We start from the raw sequence: 26,763 nt of genomic DNA, 5'->3' as shown, positions 1-26,763 counted from the left end.
TCATGCTAGTGAGTGAGTTCTCATGAGATTTGATGGTTTAAAACTGTGTGGCACTTCTCCCTTCACTCTCTCTCTCTCTCTCTCTCCTGCTGCCACATGGAGAAGGTGCTTGCTTCCCCTTTGCCTTCCGCCATGATTGTAAGTTTCCTGAGGCCTCTCCAAAAGCAGAAGCCTGTATAGCCCATAGAACCATGAGCCAATTAAACCTCTTTTTTCTAAATTACCCAGTCTCAGGTAGTTCTTGAGTGTCAATGCTTCTATTGCTGACTGTGAGAAAGAGGAAGGGACTAATATGCTTACTCCTCACATGTAGAATCTTATTTTACAAACTCCCATCTTAATAAGAGAGTGGTATCTATCTCAGTGCTGTGTGTAAAAGATTTGTTGTGAAAATATATGAATAATTGTTTTATTTCCAACACCTGCAGATAATATCCAGGAATTCCAACATGACTTTCTATATGATAGCATAGCTTTGTGATGGGGACTGCAAAGAGCTAGATACTGTTTGTGAAATAATGAAAACAATGATAATAATAATAATAATAATAATAATAATAATAATAATAATAATTACCATTGATCTGCACTACCCTGTGCCAGGAACTTGGCATTCATTGTCTTGTATGATCTTCACAGCAACACTAATTCATGGGTACTAATATTATTCCCTTTTTAAACATTAGGGTTAGAAGCTTTAAGATACTATATCATTTATCTAAAGTCACATAGCTAGTAAGTTTCAAACCCAGGTCTGCCATCTCCAAAGCCCACATAGTAGATTACTGAGAATCAAGACATGCATTTTTCTCTACACTGTTAATTTCTATGAAGTAAACTTCATTCTTTATATAGAAAGAAGAGCCAGAGATTAAAATCACAAATCATAACATCTATTATTTAAAATCCAACTAAGAGGAACTTCCGAAAGGATCATTTTAACGGGTATCTTTTATAGTTTCTAAACTGTGTTTCATTAGCCCACTGTGAGTTATCTCTTTTCAACTTTTCAAAGGTTAATAGGCAAGCACCCATATTTGATTAATGAATGAATGTACAGTGTAGGTGTGTGATCCAAAGACATGACCCAGAATTAAGTTAACCCATCAGCTTCACTTTTCCTCTCAAGGAACCAAAATCATAGAGCTGCATTCTGGCTAATGAGCTACCACCAACATTTTATTTGAGTGAGTTCACATGTCAGTTACTTAAAATATGAGTTAATAGTAATGTCAATAACTGAAAATATGAAAATATTTGTAAATGATTTCCCAAGTAGAAAAAGTGTGTATTTCTGAAATCATAGTCTTATTCTTTCTTTCTCTCTCTCCTTTTTAAATAGGTATTTTTGCTTAAGAAAATGTCTTAGGAATTAGTGATGAATTGGACAAAAATTTATAGATTAAGGTTATTAAATACCACAAAGCTCTTGCACTTTACTTTTTCAGTCCATGTGGGTTCTGCTTTAAAAAAGTGTTACCTACATTTGAAAGATCATACTTTCTTTTCAAATATCTAAATATATCTGAGCTTTCTTAGAATTCTAGAGAGCACTGCTTTTGACAATTACTTTGTTGCTTTTAAAAGGACTAAGAATTCACTATACTTGAACTCTACATTCAAGAGAAGCCAGGTGCGTTAAATTTTGTCTCAGCTCCATGGTATTTTTTTAATGTCAAGAGATGGCCTGTTTCCAGATCTTCTCTTTGATGATATAAAATAAAGTAGTTACAATTTATCGAATGCTTGCTAAATGCTCACAACCTTGCTAAGTCCTTGGCATGCATAATCTCTTTAATACTTATTTAATCTCACTAAGCCTCAGTGTTCTTACCTATAAAATGAGAGTAATAAGAACCCCTACTTCATAGACTGGTTCTAACATATTAAAGGTCACATGGCTCGTAAGTAGAAGAGTTGGGATTGATTACAGGTATATCCAGCTCTAAACTACCAAGTCGTAACTACTATACTATAGTATAGTGGACATGGACAAATATGTACCTCCAAATCTAAGAGTTCGTCCGCATGGCCCTAACAGACCATTTTATAAAATGGGCAAAGCCGTTTCCTTGTAACACTCTAGATGCTATCTGCCCAGACGTCTGTTTATAAGTAGTTTGAGCCATTCTCAACTAGCCATTCTCAGGTAAGACACAATTTGCTTTATTAATTTGCTTTTCTGGAATCTTTTTGGACCTGCAGTTTAGCAAATTGTAGCCTCTTTAATAGTTACTAAACTGCAATGATATTCACTTTTGGCATAATTTACAGAAAGGAGCCCAAGTAGGTACCTTACACATACCTAGTATTAAGCTGTTCTCCATACAGACACCCCCCACATATGGCCTTATTGACTGACATCCAGAATCACATACATTTCTCTTGAACTTTCCAAAGAAATCTTTTCATCCTACAACACACTGGTTTCAGGAAGAGAAGACAACTAACTTTAAATCTGCAGTTCTGGGTTTAAGAGAAAAGTCTGTCACTGAAGCTGTGTGAGAACCTTAGTTTTTTCATGTGCAAAATGGGAACGGTATTTGCCCAGCTTGCCCCCTCAGTTGTTTCAAAAATCAAAGTAGAAAAGTACTCTACAAATAAGAGAGATAAAGTGGCATTATCTCAAAGGCAAAAGGCTTGGGGCCAAGCAGATTTAGGTTTAAAGCTCGATTTTGGTGCTTACTAGCTGCATGATTTTGGACACATAATTCAACCTGAGCAATTGTAAAGATTAAATGAGATAATACCATCCACCTGCAATACAACAAGCTCTAGCTCAAGCTTGTCCAACCCACACCCCAAGGACATGTGGGTTGGACATGAGGCCCAGGATGGTTTTGAACACAGCTCAACACAAATTTGTAAATTTTCTAAAAACATTATGAGATTTCTTTGTGAAAATTTTTTAAGTTCATCAGCTATCATTAGTGTTAGTGTATTTTATGTGTGGCCCAAGACAATTCTTCTTCCAATGTGGCCCAGGGAAGCCAAAAGATTGAACACCCCTGCTAATAGGCTTTCTTGATTAGCATTTGGTTATAGGTGGTCTTAGTGTAAGAAAATAGAGGGAGGAAATATTAGAAAAAGCATGAATGAAGATATAAAATGATGCCTTATAGAAGCATGACATGAGTTTACGGTAATCTGAATGTGACCTGCATGATTTAAGTCTTCCCAATAGAGTATTAGATTATCAGCAACAAACTACAAAACTACAACAGTGTTTCATTAAACTTTCTTTTCTCTAAAGAGAAGAGTCTCAAATTGCAGACTCTATGTCTAGATTTCATCTTTTGACCCTGTGCCTGCCATATAAAGTTCTTCAATTAAAATCTGTTAAATAGACACGTACTTGCTCTTCTCTGGAAACTTTCCAAATGTTCTATGCTCCTCAAGTTTACTAACACAGTTTACAAGGTCTTCCAAAGACCTATTAAATGTATATTGTATGCCTAACTGATGAAGTTGTGCCCATGAAGGAGATGATATATGCAAAGTCCTATGATCATGCTGTGGAAAAAGTTGGTTATATTTCTTCCGAATCAACAGGTGAGTTTGGTACACCATACTCTTTTTTTTTTAGACAGGGTCTCGCTTTGTTGCCCAGGCTAGAGTGACAGTGGCATGATCACGGATCACTGCAGCCTCAACCTGCCCGGGTGATCCTCCCATCTCAGCCTCCTGAGTAGCTGGGACTTGACAGGCACACATCCCCACTCCCGGCTAATTTTTTCTGTATTTTTTAGAGACAAGGTTTTGCCATGTTGCTCAGGCTGGTCTCCAACTTCTGGGCTCAAGCGATCTGCCAACTTCAGCCTCCCAAAGTGAGGGGATTACAGGCGGGAGCCAACACACCCGGCCAGCATACTCTTTTTTAAATAACTTTGATTATGCTTTAGATAAATTTCCTTTTTGAGGGTATGAAGAAAATCTTCATGTGCTAAAATATTTTAGAGGTCAGTCAGCAGAAACTGCAATTGATATATGATAAATGAACAGTAAAACTAAAAATAGAATGTTTCTCGGCTGGGCATGGTGGCTCACGCCTGTAATCCCAGCACTTTGGGAGGCCGAGGCGGGCGGATCATGAGGTCAGGAGATCGAAACCATCCTGGCTAACACGGTGAAATCCCGTCTCTACTAAAAATACAAAAATTAGCCGGGCGTGGTGGCGGGCGCCTGTAGTCCCAGCTACTCGGGAGGCTGAGGCAGGAGAATGGCGTGAACCCAGGAGGCGGATCTTGCAGTGAGCCAAGATTGTGCCACTGCACTCCAGCCTGGGCAACACAGCCAGGCTCCGTCTCAAAAAAAAAAAAAAAAAAAAAAGAATGTTTCTCTTAAAGTATAAAATCCTTCAAGTCTCTGAAGCATAGTAAAACGTGGTATTCTCCATTATTGCTTTTGTTTTGCTTTGTTTTTCCTAGAATGACTACAAAAAACTGTCAATGCAGTGCAAAGACTTTGTTGTTGGACTCCTTGATCTGTGCAGAAACACTGAAGAAGTCGAGGCCATTCTGAATGGGGATGTTGAAACGCTCCAGAGTGGTGATCACGGTCGCCCAAATCTCAGCCGTTTAAAACTTGCCATTAAATATGAAGTAAAAAAAGTAAGGTCAGGCGTGAAGCCCGTTTACATTATTTTGGTTCTTGTTGGTGCTAAATAAGGATAAAGGGTTGATATTGTTAGATTAAGCTGGGATTTTCTTTTCTTTTCTCTTTTTTTTTTTTTGAGATGGAGTCTCGCTCTGTCGCCCAGTCTGGAGTGCAGTGGTGCGATCTCGGCTCACTGCAAGCTCCGCCTCCCGGGTTCAGGCCATTCTCCTGCCTCAGCCTCCCAAGTAGCTGGGACTACAGGCGCCCACCACCACGCCCGGCTAATTTTTTGTATTTTTAGTAGAGACGGGGTTTCACCGTGGTCTCTATCTCCTGACCTTGTGATCCGCCCGCCTCGGCCTCCTAAAGTGCTGGGATTGCAGGCGTGAGCCACTGCACCCGGTTAGGATTTTCTAATTAACAGTTGCACTAGGCAGATTCTCTAACAAATCATAAGCATCTGTACTAATTGTGAGGCACTCTACCTACACTAAATGCCAGTCTTTAAAATCTAGACGTATTTATATAGAATCTTACAGGGATTGCCATTTTCTTACTGTGCTAATGATATAACAATGACTTTATGAATCCAAATTCTAAAACATTTGTTATAAGACAGGAACATCACCATTTGAGACTCAACTCCATTTTCCCATTTGTTGCTGTTTTCCAATAATGCCTTCAATTCCTTCTTTACCGCATTAGAATTTCCACCAGCTGCATTTTTATTGGTGGAATATTTTTAGTCTCTCTCTTCAAGCACTGGCCCCATTCTCTGCTTTCTTAGATTATGTGAGGTATCTTTTAAAAAGCTGGCCGGGCACAATGGCTCATGCCTGTAATCCCAGCACTTTGGGAGGCTGAGATGGGTGGATAACTTGAGGTCAGGAGTTGGAGACCAGCCTAGGCAACATAGTGAAACCCCGTCTCTACTAAAACTACAAAAATTAGCTGGGTATGGTGGCGTGCACCTGTAGTCTCAGCTATTTGGGAGACTGCAGTGGGAGGATCACTGAACTCTGGAGGCAGAGGTTGCAGTGAGCCAAGATCATTTCCTGCACTCCAGGCTGGGTGACAGAGTGAGACTCTGTCTCAAAATAAATAGATAGATGGATAGACAGATAGATAGCTTTTAAAGGTAGATTTTTCCAATAAAAGTAATATATGTTTATGGTAAGTTTTCAAATAGTATAAACATGTCTCCTCCCAATTTTTCCAGTTCTGAATGGAGAATAATGAACCATTGTTATATTTCTATACACAAATTTCTTTCTTGGACAACTTTATATAACAGTCAATAAATGTCCACTTTATCTTTTTAAAGGTTGCATTGTTACTTCATTATATTCACATAATCTGTTTACTATTTAGGGATGTTTATTATAATTTTCAGATTTTTGTTATTAGATTTTTATTTTTTATACAGTAAACATATTTGTTGATATAGCTTGCTTACTTGCATGACTTTTACTCGTAAACAAAAATTCTTACATGTGGAATTAATATGTCAAATTTTTATTTTTAGGTTTCCAAACATTTGCTAGGTTTCCCTTCAAAAATGGTGTACCAGTTTCCATACACACCAACAGTGTGTGACAGGGCTTATTTCTTCCACCCACAGTGGAATGGGTTTTATCCAACTTTACCATTCTGAGTAGATAAACATTCTATCTTGTTTTAGACTCAACTCCTTTTCTACCTATCTCTCAAACTACCTTTGAGGTTAACCACCCTTAAGATTCACTTGTAGTTCTTCTATATAACCTGTCCTTTGTAATATTTTAATATTAATATTAAATATTGTAACTTTTTAATATTCTTTACCAATTTTTATTTTGGGATAGTGCTTTTTGTATATTAACTCTGCCATATGTATGGTTCAGTTGTAAAAATAAATACATGAAAACTTAAAGATTCCCTCAAAAAAAAAAAATATTGAAAATTAAAGTCTTCTTAAGTGAAAGAGTTTTTGGCACAAGAATAAAAGGAGAGATCAATAGAATAAAACAGGCAGTCCAGAGACAGAGCCATATACAAACGGGAATTTAGTATAAACTCTGTGACATTTTAGATCAATGCAGGAAAGGTGGTATTTTTAAAAAAGTATTTAGGCAACTGAGTTAATATTGATCTCTTTCTAGATGAAAAAACTATATAATCATAAAAGCCGTATGTAAAATTTAGATTAATCTTTTTATAATATTCAATTAAAATTTTTTCTGTGCTTTGAAAGAAAGCTTGTTTGTCATAAAGGAAAAGCTTGATAAATTGAAATCTTCAAATTTATGTAAAACATATTAGAACTTTTTGCCATTTGTTTGTTGCCTGTTAATTTGATGTTTTATGTTTGTTCTTTAATTCTAACAATGTATTTCATTGGAAAGCATGGAACTATTAGAACACATGAAAATCGTTTATGCTGAACCTTTCTTTAGTCAAATTTAAATATTTTGTCACTTCCCTGCTAGTTTGTAGCTCATCCAAACTGCCAACAGCAACTTCTCTCCATTTGGTATGAGAATCTTTCTGGTTTACGACAGCAGACAATGGCGGTCAAGTTCCTTGTGGTCCTTGCTGTTGCCATTGGACTGCCCTTCCTGGCTCTCATTTACTGGTTTGCTCCATGCAGCAAGGTATGTATGTGAAGCCTGGACCTCTATTATCTACTAGAAATATGTTTTAAGTGGGGAAAAATCTTATCTCCAAAGTGAAAATTTCAGGGAATCACAGTTGGGTTTCAGTAATCTTTATTGTTTTTAACATTACAAAATAATTCCTGTTTGGGTTTAAATAATTTGTATTGCTTTTATTATCAAAAAGTAATACATGTTTGCTATAGGAAACAAAAAAAACGGAAAAGATAAAATTCACCTGTAATATCACCACTGTTAATGTGTGAAAGGATACTCAGTAACTATATTAATTTCCTTTTACTCTTTTCTCTATGTACATCTATGCATATACTTTTATATTTCTTTATGAGGTCATAGTACCATTGAGCATATATTTCAAATGACATCCTAAAAGATGAACACTTTTTCTGTTTCTCCTCTGGCAAAATTTGAGATGAAAGTTTTGTCTTGTATTTATTTTAGCTAATATGACCAGATAAATCTTAAATAAAAGGCAGTCATGTAAATACTAATGTAATACTTGTTTCAGTAAAGAATATACATTTTTTAGGGACTAAGTACACCAGAACCTGACAGCAAAAATAGCCTATTTTCTTAGCAAAAGCTATCTACCCATGCTTTGGTAAAAATGCTATGTTCAGATGGATCTAGCCTTTCATTAGTGTGACAGGATAGGTTTGAGAAATATTGACCTATCATTCTGTTAACAAGTAGAGAAATTTGTGTCTTGCATTGCTAACAAGCCTATTCTTCACGTTTTTGAAGCCACATTTCTGGATCTGTTTAACTCTGAGAGGCAGATTGAAATAATTCTGAAGCTTAGTGCCTAAATGTCTTTTGGACCATCTATTAATGTGCTATGTAGAAAGAACTATCAGTTGGGTTACTTCCAGTGCTTAAACATGGGCATGATTCATTTTCAAACATTCGTAATATGTGGGCGCAAACACAAACATCACCATTACTAACATATTGTTTTCTAATTATTTTGTCATATTTTTGGTGTTTTAGCCATATTAGGGCTGTTCAAAATGACTCATGCTAGAAAGCTTGTGCAAAGCCTTTTAGACAGTGGAAACATCCTAATTATTTCTAGTGATGATAGGAATTACAGGAAACTGGACATTTTCTTATGAGAGTAAAATCCATCATCATAGATATTTTCCCCTTAAAATATATAAGGCCAAAATTTGGTATCTCAGATTCATAATATAAATGAGGAACATAAAATGAAAATAGTGCAATTTACTAGAAATGACATCTGTAGTACAGATTTTCATCTAGAAAATTGACTTTTTTTCCCTTTTTACTAAAAATGACAGATTTTGCCTGGAAAAATAATGTGTGTACATGGACATGGAGTGTGGAATGATAGACATTGGAGACTTAGAAAAGTGGGGGCTCAGAAGAGGGGAGGGACAGGTGGTGACAAATTATTTAATGGGTACAGTGCATATTATTTGAGTGACTGGTGTACTAAAAGGCAAGACTTCACCACTATGCAGTATACTGGTGTAACAAAATTGCACTGGTATCCCTTAAATTTAGACAAATACATTTCTAAATTGTCCTCCCTAGAACATGGGTTATATCTATGTAGGTAGTCTCTTTGTTCTTCTTCTCCTTATATTTCCTGAGTCATCTGAGATTTTAACTGAATTAAAATGGGGGGAGTTTTTGAATTCTCCCTATTCTCATTCTGTGACCAGTTAAATTATAATCTCTTTCCTAAACTGAATAATTTTCCTTTTCCATAACCAGTGTGTTCGAAAGCATAATGTATTCCAGAGTGTCTGGTGCTTTGACACAGACTATTTTTGGCAATCCTTAGAGTTACACATTTCTTAAATTTTGATTGAATTCTAATTAAACTGATTTCCTTTACTATTTCTTCTTCCCTGGCCATATGTCTTTCTGGCATCTGTTTTCCATCCTTGTTTATGAACATTGAGGCAAATAATCAAATTAAAAGGACATTGTCAAGGTATTTTTTTTCTCCTATCCAAAACCTATTTTACTGTTTTTATCTTTGAAGCATGATGATAAAATCTATTTTACAGTTTTCCATTTGCAGTGAACATAAATATGCTTTACAGGCCACAGGATTTTTTGTGGGAGGGGATTGCTTCAGCTAAATTGGTGCTTTTATTCCAAATATATTTAAAATATTTTGGATTTTCCAATATATCCATGAACATCAGTAAGATCAAATTGCAGGCCTATGCACTGTGACTGAGTCCCCATTTTTGTTTAAAGTTGGTTTTGCTGTAGGAAACAAAAGTTGGGTTTCTTCTTTCCCCATTCCGAAATCCCTTTTGTTTTTACTTGCTCTCTTTCTTCTACTGTAATCCAAATATCAATTGTTTTTGTTCATTACAATAAGAATAGTCATACTGCAATTACAAATCATTTTAGTTTAAGCTAGTCTCAACCTTTTTCATTTCTAAGTGGTGTTGAGTAGCTAGGTATTTAGTCATCAATAAATACCTAAAAAGAGTATCACATATCATATTTAAAGACAAGTATTTATTTCAATGCTTACCCTCAGTAATTTTCCAGGTACATAAGTTGTTCAATTTCTTCATCTAGCTCTCCTCCTTTATAGTTATTTTTTGGAAATTTGTCTATATCCCAGAGTATATAGATGGCAAATTTTACCAAAAAGGATAACTCCCTTCAATTCCTAAAGTCTAGTGAGAGATGCCAAAATCTCCCTCAGTTTGAAGAGAAATACAATTCTCAACTTTTGTAAGAAAAATAAAGGCTACGAGGTTTCAAACATGCCCATTTTAGTTTCTAGGCAACCAGCTTTTTGTTTGATTGCTAAAACAAAACAAAACAAAACAAAACAAGAAAACACCAACAAACAAACCAAGAAATACCCTAAGACTTTTAATAAGCAGAAGAAGATGCCTGGATTGATACTCCCTTTAGAATAAAATAAAGGAAGAGTAGTGTTACATAAAGGTCAGTAGGCCAGTGGAGAAAGAAGGGAAGCCAGGTAGGGGCCAGGCACACAGATCAGACACCTTGCCCCGAAAATTGAAGATTGACTTTAGAGTTGTTCAGGACAGTGAAACTAAGGTTCCAGAGTTTTCAGATTTGTGGCTCATTCTAAGGTAGATAGCTTTATTTCAACTCCATTTTATGTCCCCAACCTCGTGTTTTCTATTTATGTTATTTATTTGGTTCTACTTTAATTTACGCTCTACTGTATGATGTCCTTGAAAGCTGCTTCTTATTCTTCCTGGAACCAGGCAGGTGATAAATAACTTTTTCATGAATTTCACTAACAGTCATTGCCTCTAATCCCAGGTTTCCTCAAACAGTCAAATAAATTGAGAATTAAAAAAAAAAAAGTTTAGGATTTATAATGGATTTTCCCATGAGAAAGATATGGATTCTTGCAATACATTTTCACTTGCTCTAATACACGGTTAAAATAAATCATACATAAAACATTATAGAATTAAAATTTTATGTGAAACATATCATGGAAATATAACATTGATGTTTATTTTTAACTATTTATATTTAAAAAGAAAAATAGCAAAGGACAATAGGCAGAAGAAAATCAAACTTACTTTTTATACCATTTGTTTTAATTTTGCCATCGTTTGATTGAGAGTTTGATTTTAAAAGGATCTAAAAAAAAAAACAAAAATACTCCTTGAATCAATTCAGTAGGTGATCTTATCTAAGCATATTTTTACAGCAAACTTTTACAAACTAACTTTGGATTGGCTCTGCAATTCTAGAATCTATTGGCTTTAAAACTCTGTGTGTGTGTGTGTGTGTGTGTGTGTGTGTATTCTTTGGCCCTCTGTATATGTGGGTTCTGCATCCCCGGATTTAACAAACCGCAGATTGAAAACATTTGAAAAAAATTGTGTCTGTGTTGAACAGGTACAGACTTCTTTTGGCATTATTCTATAAACAGGATATTGAATATTCTCAACACAAAGAAATGATAGATGTTTGAGATGATGGCTATGCTAATTACCCTAATCTAATCACTATATGTTATACGTATTGACACATCACTATATACCGCCCATAAATATGTACAAATATATGTCAATTTAAAAGTGTATCTTATAACAAAAATTTACATAGCATTTACATGATATTACGTATTATAAGTAATCTCGGCATGATTTAAAGTATATGGGAAGATGTGCCTAGGTTATATGTAAATATTATGATTTTATATCAGGAACGTGAGTAGCCTTAGATTTTAGTATCCACGGAAGGACCTGGAACCAATCCCTCATGGATACCTAGGGACAACTGCACTCATACACACACACACACACACACACACACACACACACACACACATAGCATGAGAGAGAGAGAGATACAATACAATATCTCCTGATATTCTGTGTCTGGCCTAACATTCAGAATGTCAAGATAAGTTAATTGGTTCCAGCTCTAAGTTTTATTATTTTGAAAACCATATAGACAAATAAAGGTAGGGAAATAGAGAACACCGATTGTGTTCCTTCCATGATAGCATTTATCTTTTCCGAGTCTTAAAAGATAATTCCTAATAATTTACATATGTAGGCCCATTGATGAGAAAGTATGAAATTATTCTGTAAACCAAATAGAAGTATTAACTTAGGAACAAGAATGCCTGGGTTCAAGTTCCAGCTCTACCACTTATGAGATATGTGACCTTGAACAAGTTTCTGGACTTCACTTCCTCAGTTTCTTCATCGAAAGTGGGCATTTGAGTGCACCTGCCCTTTTGAATTGTTGTAATGATTACAAGTTAACAGTGTAAAGCACTTAAAACAGTGCCAACTAAGTGTTGGTTGTATTTTATTAGTTTTCAAAGTTTTCTGTAATAATAAACTCACTTGAAAAGCAGTTGAAAGCTATGGACCATCTCCTAAAGGGTGGGGGAAACTGCACACACAGCTTAAGTTTTGTTCATTTCAGAGGATGTCCAGACCCCTTAGTCATATCCTAGATCCTCACTCTGCCTAGGTGAAGATCTGTACCTCTTAGACAGAGATGAATCGTGTACTATAAAAGGCACACTAGCTTTTTTTGTCCCCCGTATTTCATATAAAGAATCTGGTTTTCACATAATTTAGGAAATGTGCTCATTGTCACTCAGCTAATGAGGGAATGAAACTGGAACCTGAACCTAAAATGTTGGACTTTAAATCCAGTGTCCTTCCAGGAGATTGTTTCAATACACTGTAGGAACTGTCCTGCTGCCCTGTCCTCAGCTGGGAGTTCTCTTCTTGGTACTCATGACTTTTACTGCATTTACAAGATCACCAAAATAACAACATCCACTCAGGCCTGAATTGCATGCCTGTCAATGAAGTATATGTGAGGACACCCACCAAGGTTCTATACCTGGCAAAGTAGACTCAGTTTCATATTTTCATTGCCACTTCCTCAATACCTCAGACCCACTAAATTAGTTTTCTTTATATGAATAATGCTGATATTATTATGCTCTATATTTTGTCAACGATATTATATATTTTAAGAATTTAAATATCCTTTATTAGAAAAATACATGTATTTAGTTATTAATCAAGAACATCAGCACATGTAGGTGAGGAACGTGAACAAAATTTTGTAACAGCATAAAGATATTACTCTATCACGAATTACATAAATATAAACAATTATCTCAGGAGATCATTGGAATGTGCAGATGTTTATTCTTGCATGTATGTATGTGTGTTTTGCAAAGTGTACAAAACAAAGTTAAGATTTTATTTTGGTGTGTGTTGTGGCAGATGGGGAAGATAATGCGTGGACCATTCATGAAGTTTGTAGCACACGCAGCCTCCTTCACCATTTTTCTGGGACTGCTAGTCATGAATGCAGCTGACAGATTTGAAGGCACAAAACTCCTTCCTAATGAAACCAGCACAGATAATGCAAAACAGCTGTTCAGGATGAAAACATCCTGCTTCTCATGGATGGAGATGCTCATTATATCCTGGGTAATAGGTAAAGACTGATTTTCTGTCATGTTTTCTGTTTGCAGTCTTAGCAGTTGGACTGAATGACACTGATTCTTTCACACATCAGTTATACAAATGTATGCAGCATGATACAGTGCACCACACATCATAATTTTCTTTGTGTTCCTAAAGTACAGTTGCCTTGGGTTCATTATCAGTGCCATAGTCTTCTCGCATGCTGTGCGCCTTTTGCATTTCCAAGGAAAACCCAGGAAGAAAACCAACAGGGTAGTATCAATCACATCCCACCAGTGACAAAAAGCTATTATACTATTCATATTTTGAGAGCGAGCTATGATTTCAAGCTTAAACACAACCACAATTTTACATTGAGATTTGATAGGAATTGAAGCTAACAGCCACTTGCATTTATTGAGCATTTATTTTGTGCCAAGAATTATTCCAAGCACTTTATATACATCAAATCACATCATTTCTTTGCACCTCAGTTTTCTAGTCTATAATGTATAATCACATCTATTTTATAGGATTTATCTAAGGATCAAGTAACTTTCTTTAGGCCTCTTGGGTGGTAAGTGGAAGAGAAGGAATATGATCTTAGTTGCTATACTATTTGTCTTTAGAATCAATCATACATGTAGCTTGCCATTAAATATAATGCAAACAATAAAGATACTTCAATTAGATATTTATGAATAAATAAATCCAGTGGCTGTTAAGTGCCTTTGTTAAGTAACGAGGATACTAAAGTGAATGAGACAGTCCCTGTGTTCAAGGAAGTTAAGTCTGGGAGGCAGGTCAGTAAGTAAATCAATAATTAAAATTCAATGTGACAAATGCTATAATTGAGTTATTGGGATATTATGAACATACACAGATTGGGCATCTAAATCTGAGGTGGGATGTGAAATGGAAGGGGCAAGAAGCCCTTCCTGGGCAGTATCTTCAATGTGGTACTTTGAGGATAAAAGAATGTTAAACAGACCTGTTTGGGAGACAAGGATGGCATGGGAACATTAGAGATGTGGAACTATGGCAATACCTCGCACACTCGAAATATGATGAGTTAGGCAGAGAAGGAGCCAAGGTGCATTTATGGATGCGAGTGATGGGAGATAAGGGTGGAGAAATGGCTAGAAGATGCTTTTCAGCAATTGGTGATTTGATCTGATCATGTTTTAGAAAGGTCACAGTGGTTGTGAGATAGACGGTGGCTTTAAAGAGTCCAGAGGCTGAGACTCAATGGAAGTGCTCCCTGCGAGGAGGATGAGGCCTGGCACTCAGGAGATAGGGGAAAGGACTCGAGAGCACCCTAATAGGTAAACCCCAAACAACTTGGTGATTATTGCACATCAGAAGGGAGAGCTGTGGATTCTGCCTTGGATCAGCAGGTAGTGACTACAGTCTCTAAGAGGGAGAATACAGAAGGGAGATCATGCCTGGGACTGGAGGAATGAAAAGCTGATTAAAGTTTAGGTTATGACTGACTTTGAAGTGCCCATGGAATTTCAAGGTGGAAATGTCCATTCGGTAATAGAAAGTATGATCCCTGGGAGTATTTGGGTTTTGAATAAAGTTCCAGCCATCCTCAATTCCAGATGGTACTTAAGGCCCTGACTATGCATAAAATTATGTAGGGTTAACATATGCAAGATGTAAAGAAAATTAGGCTCAGGGATTTTCATATAAATCCTTTAATAATCCACAGGCTTCTCCATTCCCTCCCCCCAACATCCCACCTCCCTCTCTAGGGACCTGGAGAAGCACTGACAGTCAGTTTTGTATCACTTCTAAGGCAGGACATGTCTTCTTGGCTTCATGCTGGAGCTTGATGAGATGATCAGTCAAAATATTAAGACGCATTTTTCAAATTACCATAGGAATATTTTAAATTTAATTCAGTAGCATTTGAGTTATTCAAAACTTTCAAATCACTTCATTTCCTGAATATGTTTTAGGGAAAAATATGGATAGTGGCATAAAATGTGAATTGTATCACCAAAGTAATGATAAATCTTGGATACAGAAGATGGCTTTGATTTTATTCTATTTCTTTTCTAATTTAATTGATGAGACTAGAAAAAGAAATTATATTTCACTTCCAATATCTGATTTAAAATAAGAATAAACAATCACTTGTGCATGGCCTTTATCTTGTTAAACTAAAAGCCCATGTCTCATAGTTTATTTTTTATGTCTTAGTATATGTAAGGTAAATAATACAGTACTTGGCACAACGGACATGTTCAAGAAATTTCAGATAATTACAATTATTATTCAACTTTTCACTGAGCATTTATATGTCACTTTTACAAGAAGTGCTATTTTCCTATTAGGCAAAACATGACTGTTTTAGGACAAGATGAAACTTTGAAAAATTAAATTTTCTATAAGGGGTAAAGAATTTTAAAAATTAAATTTTATATAAAGGGGCATGAAGAGAATGATTTATGGTAAAGAATAAAATGAACATATTATATTTTATATATAAAATATGTATAAACTTGAGAGCACCCTAACAGGTAAACCCCAACCCACTTGGTGATTACTGCACATCAGAAGGGAGGAGCTGTGGGTTCTGCCTTGGACCGGTAGGTAGTGACTGCAGTCTCTAAGAGGGAGAATATAGAAGGAATATCACGCCTGGAACTGGAGGAATGAAAAGCTTTGAAAACAACTAGACTGCATGAGTTCAGTGAGTTATATTTTATATAACATGTTCATTTTATTCTTGACCATAAATTATTCTCCTCATACTAGTCTTAGTTTCATTGATTTTTTATTTTATTTATTTTGAGACGGAGTTTCACACTTGCTGCCCAGGCTGGAGTGCAATGGCGCGATCTCAGCTCACCGCAACCTCCACCTCCCGGGTTCAAGCAATTTTCCTGCCTCAGCCTCCCGAGTAGCTGGGATTACAGGCATGAGCTATCACGCCTGGCTAATTTTGTACTTTTAATAGAGATGGGGTTTCTCCATGTTGGTCCAGCTGGTCTCAAACTTCCAACCTCAGGTGATCTGCCCACCTCGGCCTCCCAAAGTGCTGGGATTACAGGCGTGAGCCACCGTGCCCAGCCGTCTCAGTTTTATTTTAAACTTTATATATATTTTTTCCTTTTTCACTTAGCAACCTAACAAACACAGGAATATTAAATGAGGCTCTAATCAAAAGCATTTTCCTTGTAACTTTTGTCCCACCAGCCTTTGTATTTGACTTCAGAGACTAGCTAACACTGTTTATTTAAAGGGAAAATAATGAACAACTCAGGATAGCTGATGCTTTTGTAGCCTATGTTAGATTCCTGGTTCAGTTTCTGACATTGGTATTTATTTTCTTCTTTGAAGTTATTCTTGAAAGAAAGTTGTACTTTCTGGAAATGTTAATAAGAAGTGGCCTACTTAGATGAGATGTTGGGTGTGTTATCTGGGCTTGAGGGAGAGGATGACACTATTAGTCACAAAACAAATTTATCTCATTTTTAGTTGACAAAAAGTTGAAAGGTTAAATGACAAAACTGATGTGTTAGGAGATGTTGACAAGGCAGAACAGTGAGCTCAAATCAATGAGAGGACATGTAGGACATGTAGCAGGAACACAGGGAGGAGGACGTGCTTGAAGACACTAGTGAAAAGGGCCTTAGGAGCACTTGTCACTTAACGGCCAGTCTGAGCTGCTGAGAAAGCAGATGCAGTCCTGGGCTGACTCTTCAACAGAAGGAGAGGACGGCAGTCCAGGCAGTAATTACCCAATGGCGAGACCACATCTGCAGGCCCTGGGTGCCACGTGCAGCCAATTGGCAAACTAAGGAGCGTTTCAAGCACAGCAGTTAGTTAGGAGAGTGAGTGGTTCTCAGAACAGCACTTGAGGGGGCTGGGGAAGCTTACCCTGGAGGGTGAGGCATGGTGTAAGACCCAGTGGAATCTGAGGCTTGTTTATTCAGAGGGCCCCATTTAGTGAAAAAGAAGACAAAGTGACGACTTAGCAGGAGCCTGGGCAAGTAAAGGCATCTTGAAGCTTCAGTTTCATGGTTAACCTGCCTCTGCTAGAGAAAAACAGATTTAATGAGCACGCAGGTGGGTTTTTTGGTTGTTTTTTGTAAAAAGAAATTTGAAGGCAGAGGGAGCTGACTCATTTGCTACCTGTCTAGAGGGCAAAAATAGAACCACTGCATCCACGTTGAAGGAATATTCTGAAAATTCAACAGTGGAATGAGCAGCCTTCAGAATTAGTTAAGCACCTTATCGCAAGATCTATACGAGCAGAGGCTTGATCCCTGTGAAGTCTCCTGCCTGGGGCAAGCTTGGACTTGATGCGGGATTTCAAACTCTCCTTGGCAGCTCTCAGGGGTCCTCAGGACAAATGAGACACGAACTTTTCCTTCAAGCAGAATAGCTCACTTGTTTTAGTTTTTAAGCTTCAGGAAGACATCATTTGTGCCAAGAATTCTATTTATTTCTTAAAGAGAGAAAGAGAAAAGAAAATGGAAAAGTGGGAGGAAGCTTTGAAAACAACTAGACTGCATGAGTTCAAATGTCCCTTTAGTCCCCATGCTTGTTACTCTGAACCATCCGCATCTCCTCGTGAGGCTGACAGGAGCCCGGGGACCACAGTAGGGGGAAAAAAACTGCCGTATTTCCTGTTACAAATTTGATCCCCCAGATTATATATGAATTCAATCCTAGTCCCCTCTTAACTTGAAACAACTCAAAATAAGTAATGAAGTCTTCTCTTAAATCCATGTCCTCTATGCTGCACTTAATGCTGGCTTTAAGAAAAGGCACATGACGTGCTCTTGGAAATTAGAGACGGGGCATTTCCTTAATCCCCACAGGGCTCTGCAGCTATTCACATAGCAGGTTTTGTGACTGACATTTAGGACAAATGTGAGAATTTGAGGCAGGTGGTTGCTGAGGGTAAGAGGAGAAGATTATTTTCAACTCGAGGCTGTGAAGGACTTCTTGATGGAGGCAAGTTTTGATCAGTTGTTGGTTTGGGTTGTATTTCTCCAGATGGCTCCAGCAGGAGGCAGGATGTCAGAGTAGAGTATCTTAATAGGGATAAAGCAACTTCTTTTTAATTAAAAAAGTGGGATTCTTCAAATTAAGAAAAAAATACATGTGCCAATCATGGAAAATTTTAAATAGTAAGCACTCAATAAATGTTAGTCATACTTTTTTCCAAGTGCCAGACACTGAGCTGTGTATTTCACATGAACTATTTTATTTAAGCCTCATAACAATCCAATGAAGTAGGAATGAACCAATATCATTCCCATTTTACAAACTGAGTTTTAGATAGTTTAAATACCTTATCAAAGACTTCATAGCTGACAAATGGAAGAAGAAATTCTCGAATCCATGGTAGCCTGATCTCAAATCCAGTGTTCCTAAATACTACGTTAAAATTTTGAAGAAATATGCAGTACTATTAATAATTCTACCAGAAAAAGACAACTACTATTAATAAGTTCCTGTCATCCCATCTAGGCTGTCACTGTGCTGGTTTTAAACATAAACCACACATCATAACATTTTAAACATTTTTACTTAGCATTACAATATAAAGATTTTTCCAGTGTATGTTAGTCCGGGTCCTCCAAGAAGCAGGCACAAAGATTAAATGTTCAACAGGTTTATTAAGGGAAATGGGAATTTTATTAAGGAACATTTCTTGTGAGAGGAAATGGCAAGAGAGCTGAGAAGGGTCTCAAGGGCTCTCAGGCAGGGATACAAGTCAAACCCCAAGGGACAGAGAGCAGGCAGGAAGGTTGGGTAGAAGCATCCTAGATCTTTACACAGTCTAAGGAAAGGTTGGCAAGGCTGTCATGAAATCCTTGAGCCAAAGTCAGCCATCAGAAGAGTCCCATGTCTCCCAAGAAGGGGCACCCTCAGTAATTGGCTGAGAGCAGCCGGGGGGAGACACGGCCTTGGACAAAAGTGGCAGTGGTTTTCAGAAGGCAGTAGGTGAGGCCTGTGATCAATCAAATTCCTGTAGTTGGATGTCACTGAGACACATTCTCATGGTCACTGTCCCATGGTAATTAATAAAATATTAAATGGCTTGATAATACTCCATCTGCGGAAGTCCCACTTCCATTTTACTTCTATTTTGAGTGTGTGGGTGTGTTTGGGTTATTATAAAGTATCCTACAATAAACATCTGTTAAATATATTTTTATGTGTGGAATTAATTGATCAGCAGGACATTTGTTATTTTAAGGTGTTCAATGAACTTTGTCAAATTGCTTTCAGGTATGCACTGATATTTCTGGACTAGGATATTTGTGAGGATATGGGAATTATGGTGGGACGGCAGGTTGGGACCAAATTTTGAAGGGTTTTGTAATGTCAGGCTGAGACCTTTCAAACATATTTTGTTTTATAGAACAGCTAAGGCTGAATGCGATTGAATTGATATTTTAACCCCTTTCTGATGCAGGCATGATATGGGCTGAATGTAAAGAAATCTGGACTCAGGGCCCCAAGGAATATTTGTTTGAGTTGTGGAACATGCTTGATTTTGGTATGTTAGCAATTTTCGCAGCATCATTCATTGCGAGATTCATGGCATTTTGGCATGCTTCCAAAGCCCAGAGCATCATTGACGCAAATGATACTTTGAAGGACTTGACGAAAGTAACATTGGGAGACAATGTGAAATACTACAATTTGGGTGAGTTTACAGTACAGTCAATATAAATAAAAATGCAGAATTTTCTTGTAAAACAGATGTCAGTAGTAGTTCGGTTACTGCACAATTCTCATAAAATTGTTTGTGAGTTTCCAACATCTGTATCTGAAGAATGAGCATCTATATGTGAGGAAGCATGCTTTCTGCTGCTTCATTTGATTTTTCTACTCCCTGGAAAACTCTCTTAATCACAAGACTCATCTCCCTTTATCTCTTGGATCAATTGGCTACTTATCAAACTTCATGGAGAATACATGTCTTATGTCCTGGATTTATTTTTCCCTCTTTTTTAATTAAAAATAGTTCACGTTTGATCTATCTCTCTGTATCTCTCTCTCTGTATACATATATATGTATATGTATATATACACGTGTGTGTATATATGCACACACGTGTATATATGTATATGTACACACATGTGTGTGTGTGTATATATATGTGCAATGGAATAGTATTCCACCTTTTAAAAGAAGAAAATCCTGTCATTTGTAACAACATGAATGAACTCGGAAGACATCATGCTGAGTGAAATAAGGCAGGCACAGAAAGACAAATGGTATATGATCTTACTTATTTGTGGAATCTAAAAAAAGTCAAACTCAAAGAAGTAGAAGGTAATGGTGGTTGTCAGGGGCTGGGGTAAAAGGCACAAAATGGGGAGATGTTGGCCAAAGGTACAAAGTTTACAAAGGGTACACGGATAGGATGAGTAAGTTCTAACTTATTAGTTAGAGCTTATAATAAGGGAGCTTGTAATAAGCTTATAATAAGGGAGATATACAGTATAGTGGCTAGAGTTAATAATCATGTACTGTACTGTATACTTGAAAATTGCTGAGAGTAAATTTTAAATGTTCTTACCACAAAAATGTAAATATTCGAGGTGATGAATATGTTAATTAGCTTAATTTAATCTTTGCACAGTGTAGACAGACATATATGAAAACATCAAGTTGTGCCCCATAGATATATATAATAAAGTTCACATTTGAGTGCCATTTTCATTTAAGATATATAAAAAGTATTTGAAAACGAAGGAATTGTTGGGATCTCTGAGAGGTTCCCCAATCAATAACACCACTGTTTCCCAACCAGGCTTAGAATTAGTTGAGAAATAAAACAAGAAATTAATATGGAGGCCAGATCATCACCTCTAACACTGATAAAATCCAGGGTGGATGACATAGTTCTATTAGCTAATGGATTCAGTAATACTGAACCCCAGAATTAGGCAGACATATCCTCCAGTTTCTAGATAGCAATGGGCCAGGGCAGTCCTCCTCACAAAAAGAGGATGGCAGCAAGTGCCCGATCAAGTGAGATCTTCCATGGAGGACCAGAGGAGAATTCCCAAGAGAGAGAAGGTAATGCCGAGCTAACTATGTCCAGTTATTCATCCCAATTTAGCAATCAGATAAGTCATTCCAGCTTTCCAGGAAGAAAGTGACTAAGGGATGGAAATTGGTCCAGTTATGTACTTAAGGAGACTACCACCTCGTAGAAACCTGGATGGGGAAAATATATTCCCTTTGAATACTCATTTCAAACCCTCTGATAAGAAATTAGTTAACATTCACTTGTGAGTTTATTGGCAATATCACATAAGGCCTCCATTATTATTATTAATGTTTATTTTAATGTTTAATTTTAAGATTTTTTAAAATGCACTTAATTAAAAAAATTCAAAGCTATTTGTAGATAATACTTATATTCAAAGCACTATAAAAAAGGAAACTGCTTTTATTAGTTTCTTGTTATCCTCTCCTAATTCCACTTCTCAGCAAATAAGCAAATACAAATTTGTAATTATGTTTTTCCCCTTTCTTACACACTGTTTTGTGTTTTTCTTCATAATGGTTTCTTAGTTGCATTTTTGATGACCTGATGTAATAATGCCAAAAAAATCCATAAGTGAATAATTGCTTCATTTTATGGTAAAAATAGACTTGTTTGAGTGACCAATAAAAGTTACTTCTAATACATTTAAATGACTACAAATATGCTACAAGCCTAAAATTATATTATAGTGTAATTATAGTTTAAGACTGAATAATAAACGCTACCATTTATTAAGTGCCAGGCACTTGCTAAACGCTGAACATATGCTGACTTACTGAATTCTCACGAAGACAAGAGAGTTAGAAGGGATATTATCTCATTTTCAAAAATGGGGAAACAAAACTAGAGAAGTAGTTTGCATAAGTTCTTTGTTATACGTGTGTGTGCGTACATACATACATGAATTTTTACAGATACTGAGTCTATAGTCTGAACTCTTAACTATTATGCTATCCCCTTATGGGAAATTGCTAGTAAACCAGGAGAGTCATGTTCTCAATAAACTAAGAAGCTCAACTCTAGCAGACACTTAAGAAGCCCTTTAAGATAGGAGACTTCCATTCGAAAACCGGATTCTAACATAACTATATTTCTTTCGCAGAAAAAGAAGTTACCTAAATAAAAAACTTGAAGAAACTCACACAACTCTTTGTCTTTGCTTTTTCCTAGCCAGGATAAAGTGGGACCCCTCTGATCCTCAAATAATATCTGAAGGTCTTTATGCAATTGCTGTAGTTTTAAGTTTCTCTAGGATAGCTTATATTTTACCAGCAAATGAAAGCTTTGGACCTCTGCAGATATCACTTGGAAGAACAGTCAAAGACATCTTCAAGTTCATGGTCATATTCATTATGGTGTTTGTGGCCTTTATGATTGGAATGTTCAATCTCTACTCCTACTACATTGGTGCAAAACAAAATGAAGCCTTCACAACGTATGTGATCTCAGATATTTTGATGATAGTTATTGCAAATTAAATAAATATTAGTTTAACAGCGTTTATGTAAGTCCATGGGATAATGTTTTGGTAAAGACTTCATCTCTAGTTCCTGTTTTGCAAAATGAGGGGATTTTACAAATGAGTTGGAGGGACTCTAAAATATAGGAAGCTTTCTAATATTAAATAATAACTTACATTTTTAGAGCCAGGTAAATACCTTGCATGCCTCCCTTTATTATCTCTATTTCACCAAGAGGCAACTGAAATTCACAAAAATTAAGTAATTTGCTGAATATTCCATAGCTGTGTGTGGAACAAGCCAGGCTGTAACCCTTGCTTGCTGACTCTAGGGTCTGTTGCTCTAAACTCCCTTACCCTCCTGCTTACAGGGGACTCACTCCTGGGGATGCTAACTATGAAAACAGCTACTTTCCTAATTGAATTTCTCAGATCTTATCACTGAGTAGATATGACTTATCAATAGTGGCAAGAGTTTTGACTTATGTTCACCATGGACACGTGTTTTTTTTTTCATAAAGTGTGTTTGGAATAGATTATTTAAATATTAGGTCTTCAGTGTTATAATAAGAAGCAACAACTGAAATGTAAGCCTACTGTTTTCCATATTTCTCTAAAATACAGTTTGCCAGGGAAGTGAAACCACCTGAGTTAAGCAAACTGGCTTAGCTTTGGTCAATAATTAGGCCTAAAGCATTGAAATTCCTACCTAAGACATGTCAGTGATTTTGGTAACATTGTCTGTTTATATTGTATTTTCCATTAAGATGTATATGATTATTATCTATTGGATATGAGTAGAAGTATAGATCAGGAGGAAACCTAAAAGGATTCTAACAATTCCATTGCCAACGCTATGGATTAAGTGTTCATATCTGTGGTTATGAAATTATGTTAATAGCATTTATTGAGTGCTTATGTATTTAGATATTGAGCTATGATTATGTACTTCATATGCACAATATTACCCCATCCTTGCAGCAATCCTATTGTAACCATTTTACAGAAAAGAAAAGTGAGCTTCAGAGAAGTGAAGAATTTTTTTTATACTCACTAATTTGCAGACACTAAACAAACTCACTTTTATTATGGTAATATTGTTATTTATTTATACACTTTCTTATTTCTTTTCTTCTGTTATTTTTTCCCCAGAGTTGAAGAGAGTTTTAAGACACTGTTCTGGGCTATATTTGGACTTTCTGAAGTGAAATCAGTGGTCATCAACTATAACCACAAATTCATTGAAAACATTGGTTACGTTCTTTATGGAGTCTATAATGTTACGATGGTCATTGTTTTGCTAAATATGTTAATTGCCATGATCAACAGTTCATTCCAGGAAATTGAGGTATAATCTCAATACATTTTTATAATTTGTGCCTTCATGTTTTAACTATTCCAAGGGCTAACTCAGCAATGGGGATGAAAGCATGGACTGCTCTTCGCCCTTTGTTCATTCCCTGTTTTATACACTCGTTTGACCAGTAATCTGGAAAATTTTAACTCTTTGCTTCCAAATGCAACATCAGTAAGGTGTCATGGGGCAGAGACGTAAGGCATAAGAAGCAGAAATGCTGATTTGATACTAATTTAATAAAAAACTTTAGAAATACTATATCAGCATGAATTTATATTTTATTCAAAAAATTATTGCTTATGAATACCATCATTCTCCAAGTCTTTTTTGAGTGATATTCAAAATTGACCTTTTCTCAAGTTGAGATTAATAGTGTAAATTTTTATTCCAGAAATCTTGATCTGTGTCCCAAATAAATGAGTGGTATATTTCAGAATAAAAGAGAGAATAATTTTTCATAGCATTTTTCAGAAAGTAGGAAAATACATTTATATCTATCAGGTATTTATAAACACATGGGAACTTGGAGATTAATAGTCTTGCAAGACTGTCAAAATTTTAGACAAATTTAAGAAAGAATATGTGAATAGAATGTTAACATTTTGAAAAAATCTTGGAACGATCACTGGGGTCTGAGAGTGTTTATAGGCATTGTCCTCCATCTAGCTACACAATGTTAAAAGCATCCCAGTAATTCTGTTTATGCATTTCCTTGCTGAACTGTCATGTGTATTTGTATAGGATGACGCTGATGTGGAGTGGAAATTTGCAAGGGCCAAACTCTGGTTTTCCTACTTTGAGGAGGGCAGAACACTTCCTGTACCCTTCAATCTGGTGCCGAGTCCAAAGTCCCTGTTTTATCTCTTACTGAAGCTTAAAAAATGGATTTCTGAGCTGTTCCAGGGCCATAAAAAAGGTTTCCAGGAAGATGCAGAGATGAACAAGGTAACTTAGCTTGATAAGTTATCATTGTATTCTTAAATTTTGTGACTACTGTAACCACTATGCCACATCCCTTTAAAGAGAAGCAGTTCCTGATGACACATCCATTCATTCCCATATGCAGTCACTTCACACAGCACAGTCCTTTGGCTTGTGTCTGTTCAACATGAGCACACTGGACATTTCCTACTTAAAAGAATGTAAGAAAAATTCATGAAATATAACTAAAATAATATGTTATCTGGAGTGGGTACTGAAAGAAGAACTATTCTGGGCTGCTTTTTTGCTGTTATGGCTACATGTCCCTCACTTTTCCTACAATTTATACAGCCCAGTAAATCGGCAGCAGCTTGTTATGACTCGGGGAGGGGGGGGGGGCGGGGCAACTTGATTAACTCTTAGATAGCTTCTACATTGAAAAGTTCAGAAATCAGTTGCTCACATAGAATTTGGGAGACCAGGCTTGGCAATAAGTAGTTCAAGAAAGAAAGAGCTAAGGACATTGATTGAAAACAGTAATCCCACAAGGTGATGCAATCTTTAAAAAAAATAAAAAGATTTAGTGCTTAGATGAGGCAGTAGGGCGATCACAGCATGTTCAGATATGTTTAGAGAACATGTGGAATTTGTGTCTCACTGGAGGTGGAAGGTGAGGGCTTATGCTATGCAAAGATCTCTGCTGAGCATTTAGACCTCTGTACTCAGAAGGAGCACTGAGATACCAGGTGTATCCAGAGGAGGAGGACCAGAATGGAACACATATGGATAAAGTGTCATATGAGGGAGGACTGAAGGAGCTGGCTGTTTCTTCTGAAAAAGGAAGATTGAAAGTGACTAAAAATATCTTTGTAATTTCCATCTTTAATTAGGAAGTACACTTGTTTTTCAAAAATGGGAAGAAAAGCAATGGGCCAAAAATTCAAATTGTTAAATTTTAATTCGATATAAGAGCAAACTTTTAATAAGAAAATCTGCCCAACAGAAGAATGGGCTGCCTTTAGAAGTAGTGAGCCTCCCACCATTGTAAGAAGTCAATAAATGCCAGATGGCTGACAGTGGGAATGTATTGAAGATTTTTCCTTCTTACACTGAGTGGGCAATTGGGCCAAATGATTATAAAGTTTCCTTGCAATAAGATTCTATCATTAAATAAAAGGAAAATGTTGTAATTCCTGCACTGTTTCCCATTTACTATTTAGGGTGCTCAAGTAAGTAGCACATTCTCTGAGTTCTAGTTTCCTCAACTGTAATATGTGAAAAAAATTATATCTACATCCTGAAGATCAACTCAAATAAGTATATAAAAGTACTTTGAGAATTTTAAAGCTTTCTTTAAATGTGATTATGATTAATTTGTGTAGGAATTTTGGAAAAAATACAATCTATGATATTCTTCCAGAAGTATAACTTACAGAACTCAGTGGATTGAGTGGCAAAAATTTCCCTTCCTTTATTTTACTTAATTAAATGGGTGGTTTACAGGTCTGGTTAGAACTGCAACCTGAGGGAATTCAGAGTCCAAAGGAAATGTCTAAGCAAGCACTTGCAAAGGGAAGAACCCCGTAAGAATATGTTTCTCTCATTAAAACTTGTTGGAGAATTAGACGAAATGGCTTTTAAAATACAGAATGAAGAGTGAAATTGGTTATGCAGTTATACTCATTTTACTATCTATCTTTAAAAGATAAATGAAGAAAAGAAACTTGGAATTTTAGGAAGTCATGAAGACCTTTCAAAATTATCACTTGACAAAAAACAGGTAAGCTCATATTTGAAAATATGA

The 26,763-nt window shown here is 36.3% G+C and overlaps 1 protein-coding gene across 6 annotated transcripts in view; it reads left to right on the top strand.

Annotated features, from left to right (window-relative positions):
• The window catches only part of TRPC6 (transient receptor potential cation channel subfamily C member 6), a 132,444-nt gene that overhangs the window by 87,842 nt on the left and 17,839 nt on the right, over positions 1-26,763 (top strand). For 4 of the 6 annotated variants that reach the window (XM_047427509.1, NM_004621.6, XM_047427511.1 and 1 more), the window contains exons 3-10: positions 4,428-4,610; positions 7,065-7,229; positions 13,001-13,217; positions 19,632-19,865; positions 22,393-22,657; positions 23,834-24,029; positions 24,780-24,983; positions 26,665-26,739. In XM_047427509.1, the coding sequence (XP_047283465.1) occupies positions 4,428-4,610; positions 7,065-7,229; positions 13,001-13,217; positions 19,632-19,865; positions 22,393-22,657; positions 23,834-24,029; positions 24,780-24,983; positions 26,665-26,739 (1,539 nt within the window). The remainder of the gene's footprint in view (positions 1-4,427; positions 4,611-7,064; positions 7,230-13,000; positions 13,218-19,631; positions 19,866-22,392; positions 22,658-23,833; positions 24,030-24,779; positions 24,984-26,664; positions 26,740-26,763) is intronic. The other 2 variants (XM_047427510.1, NM_001439335.1) reach the window with 2 other exon arrangements.

Source organism: Homo sapiens, chromosome 11 (genome assembly GCF_000001405.40).
Source record: "Homo sapiens chromosome 11, GRCh38.p14 Primary Assembly".
NCBI lineage: Eukaryota > Metazoa > Chordata > Mammalia > Primates > Hominidae > Homo > Homo sapiens.
The sequence above is the reverse complement of the archived record's forward strand: the minus strand, read 5'-3'. Positions and strand labels throughout refer to the sequence as shown.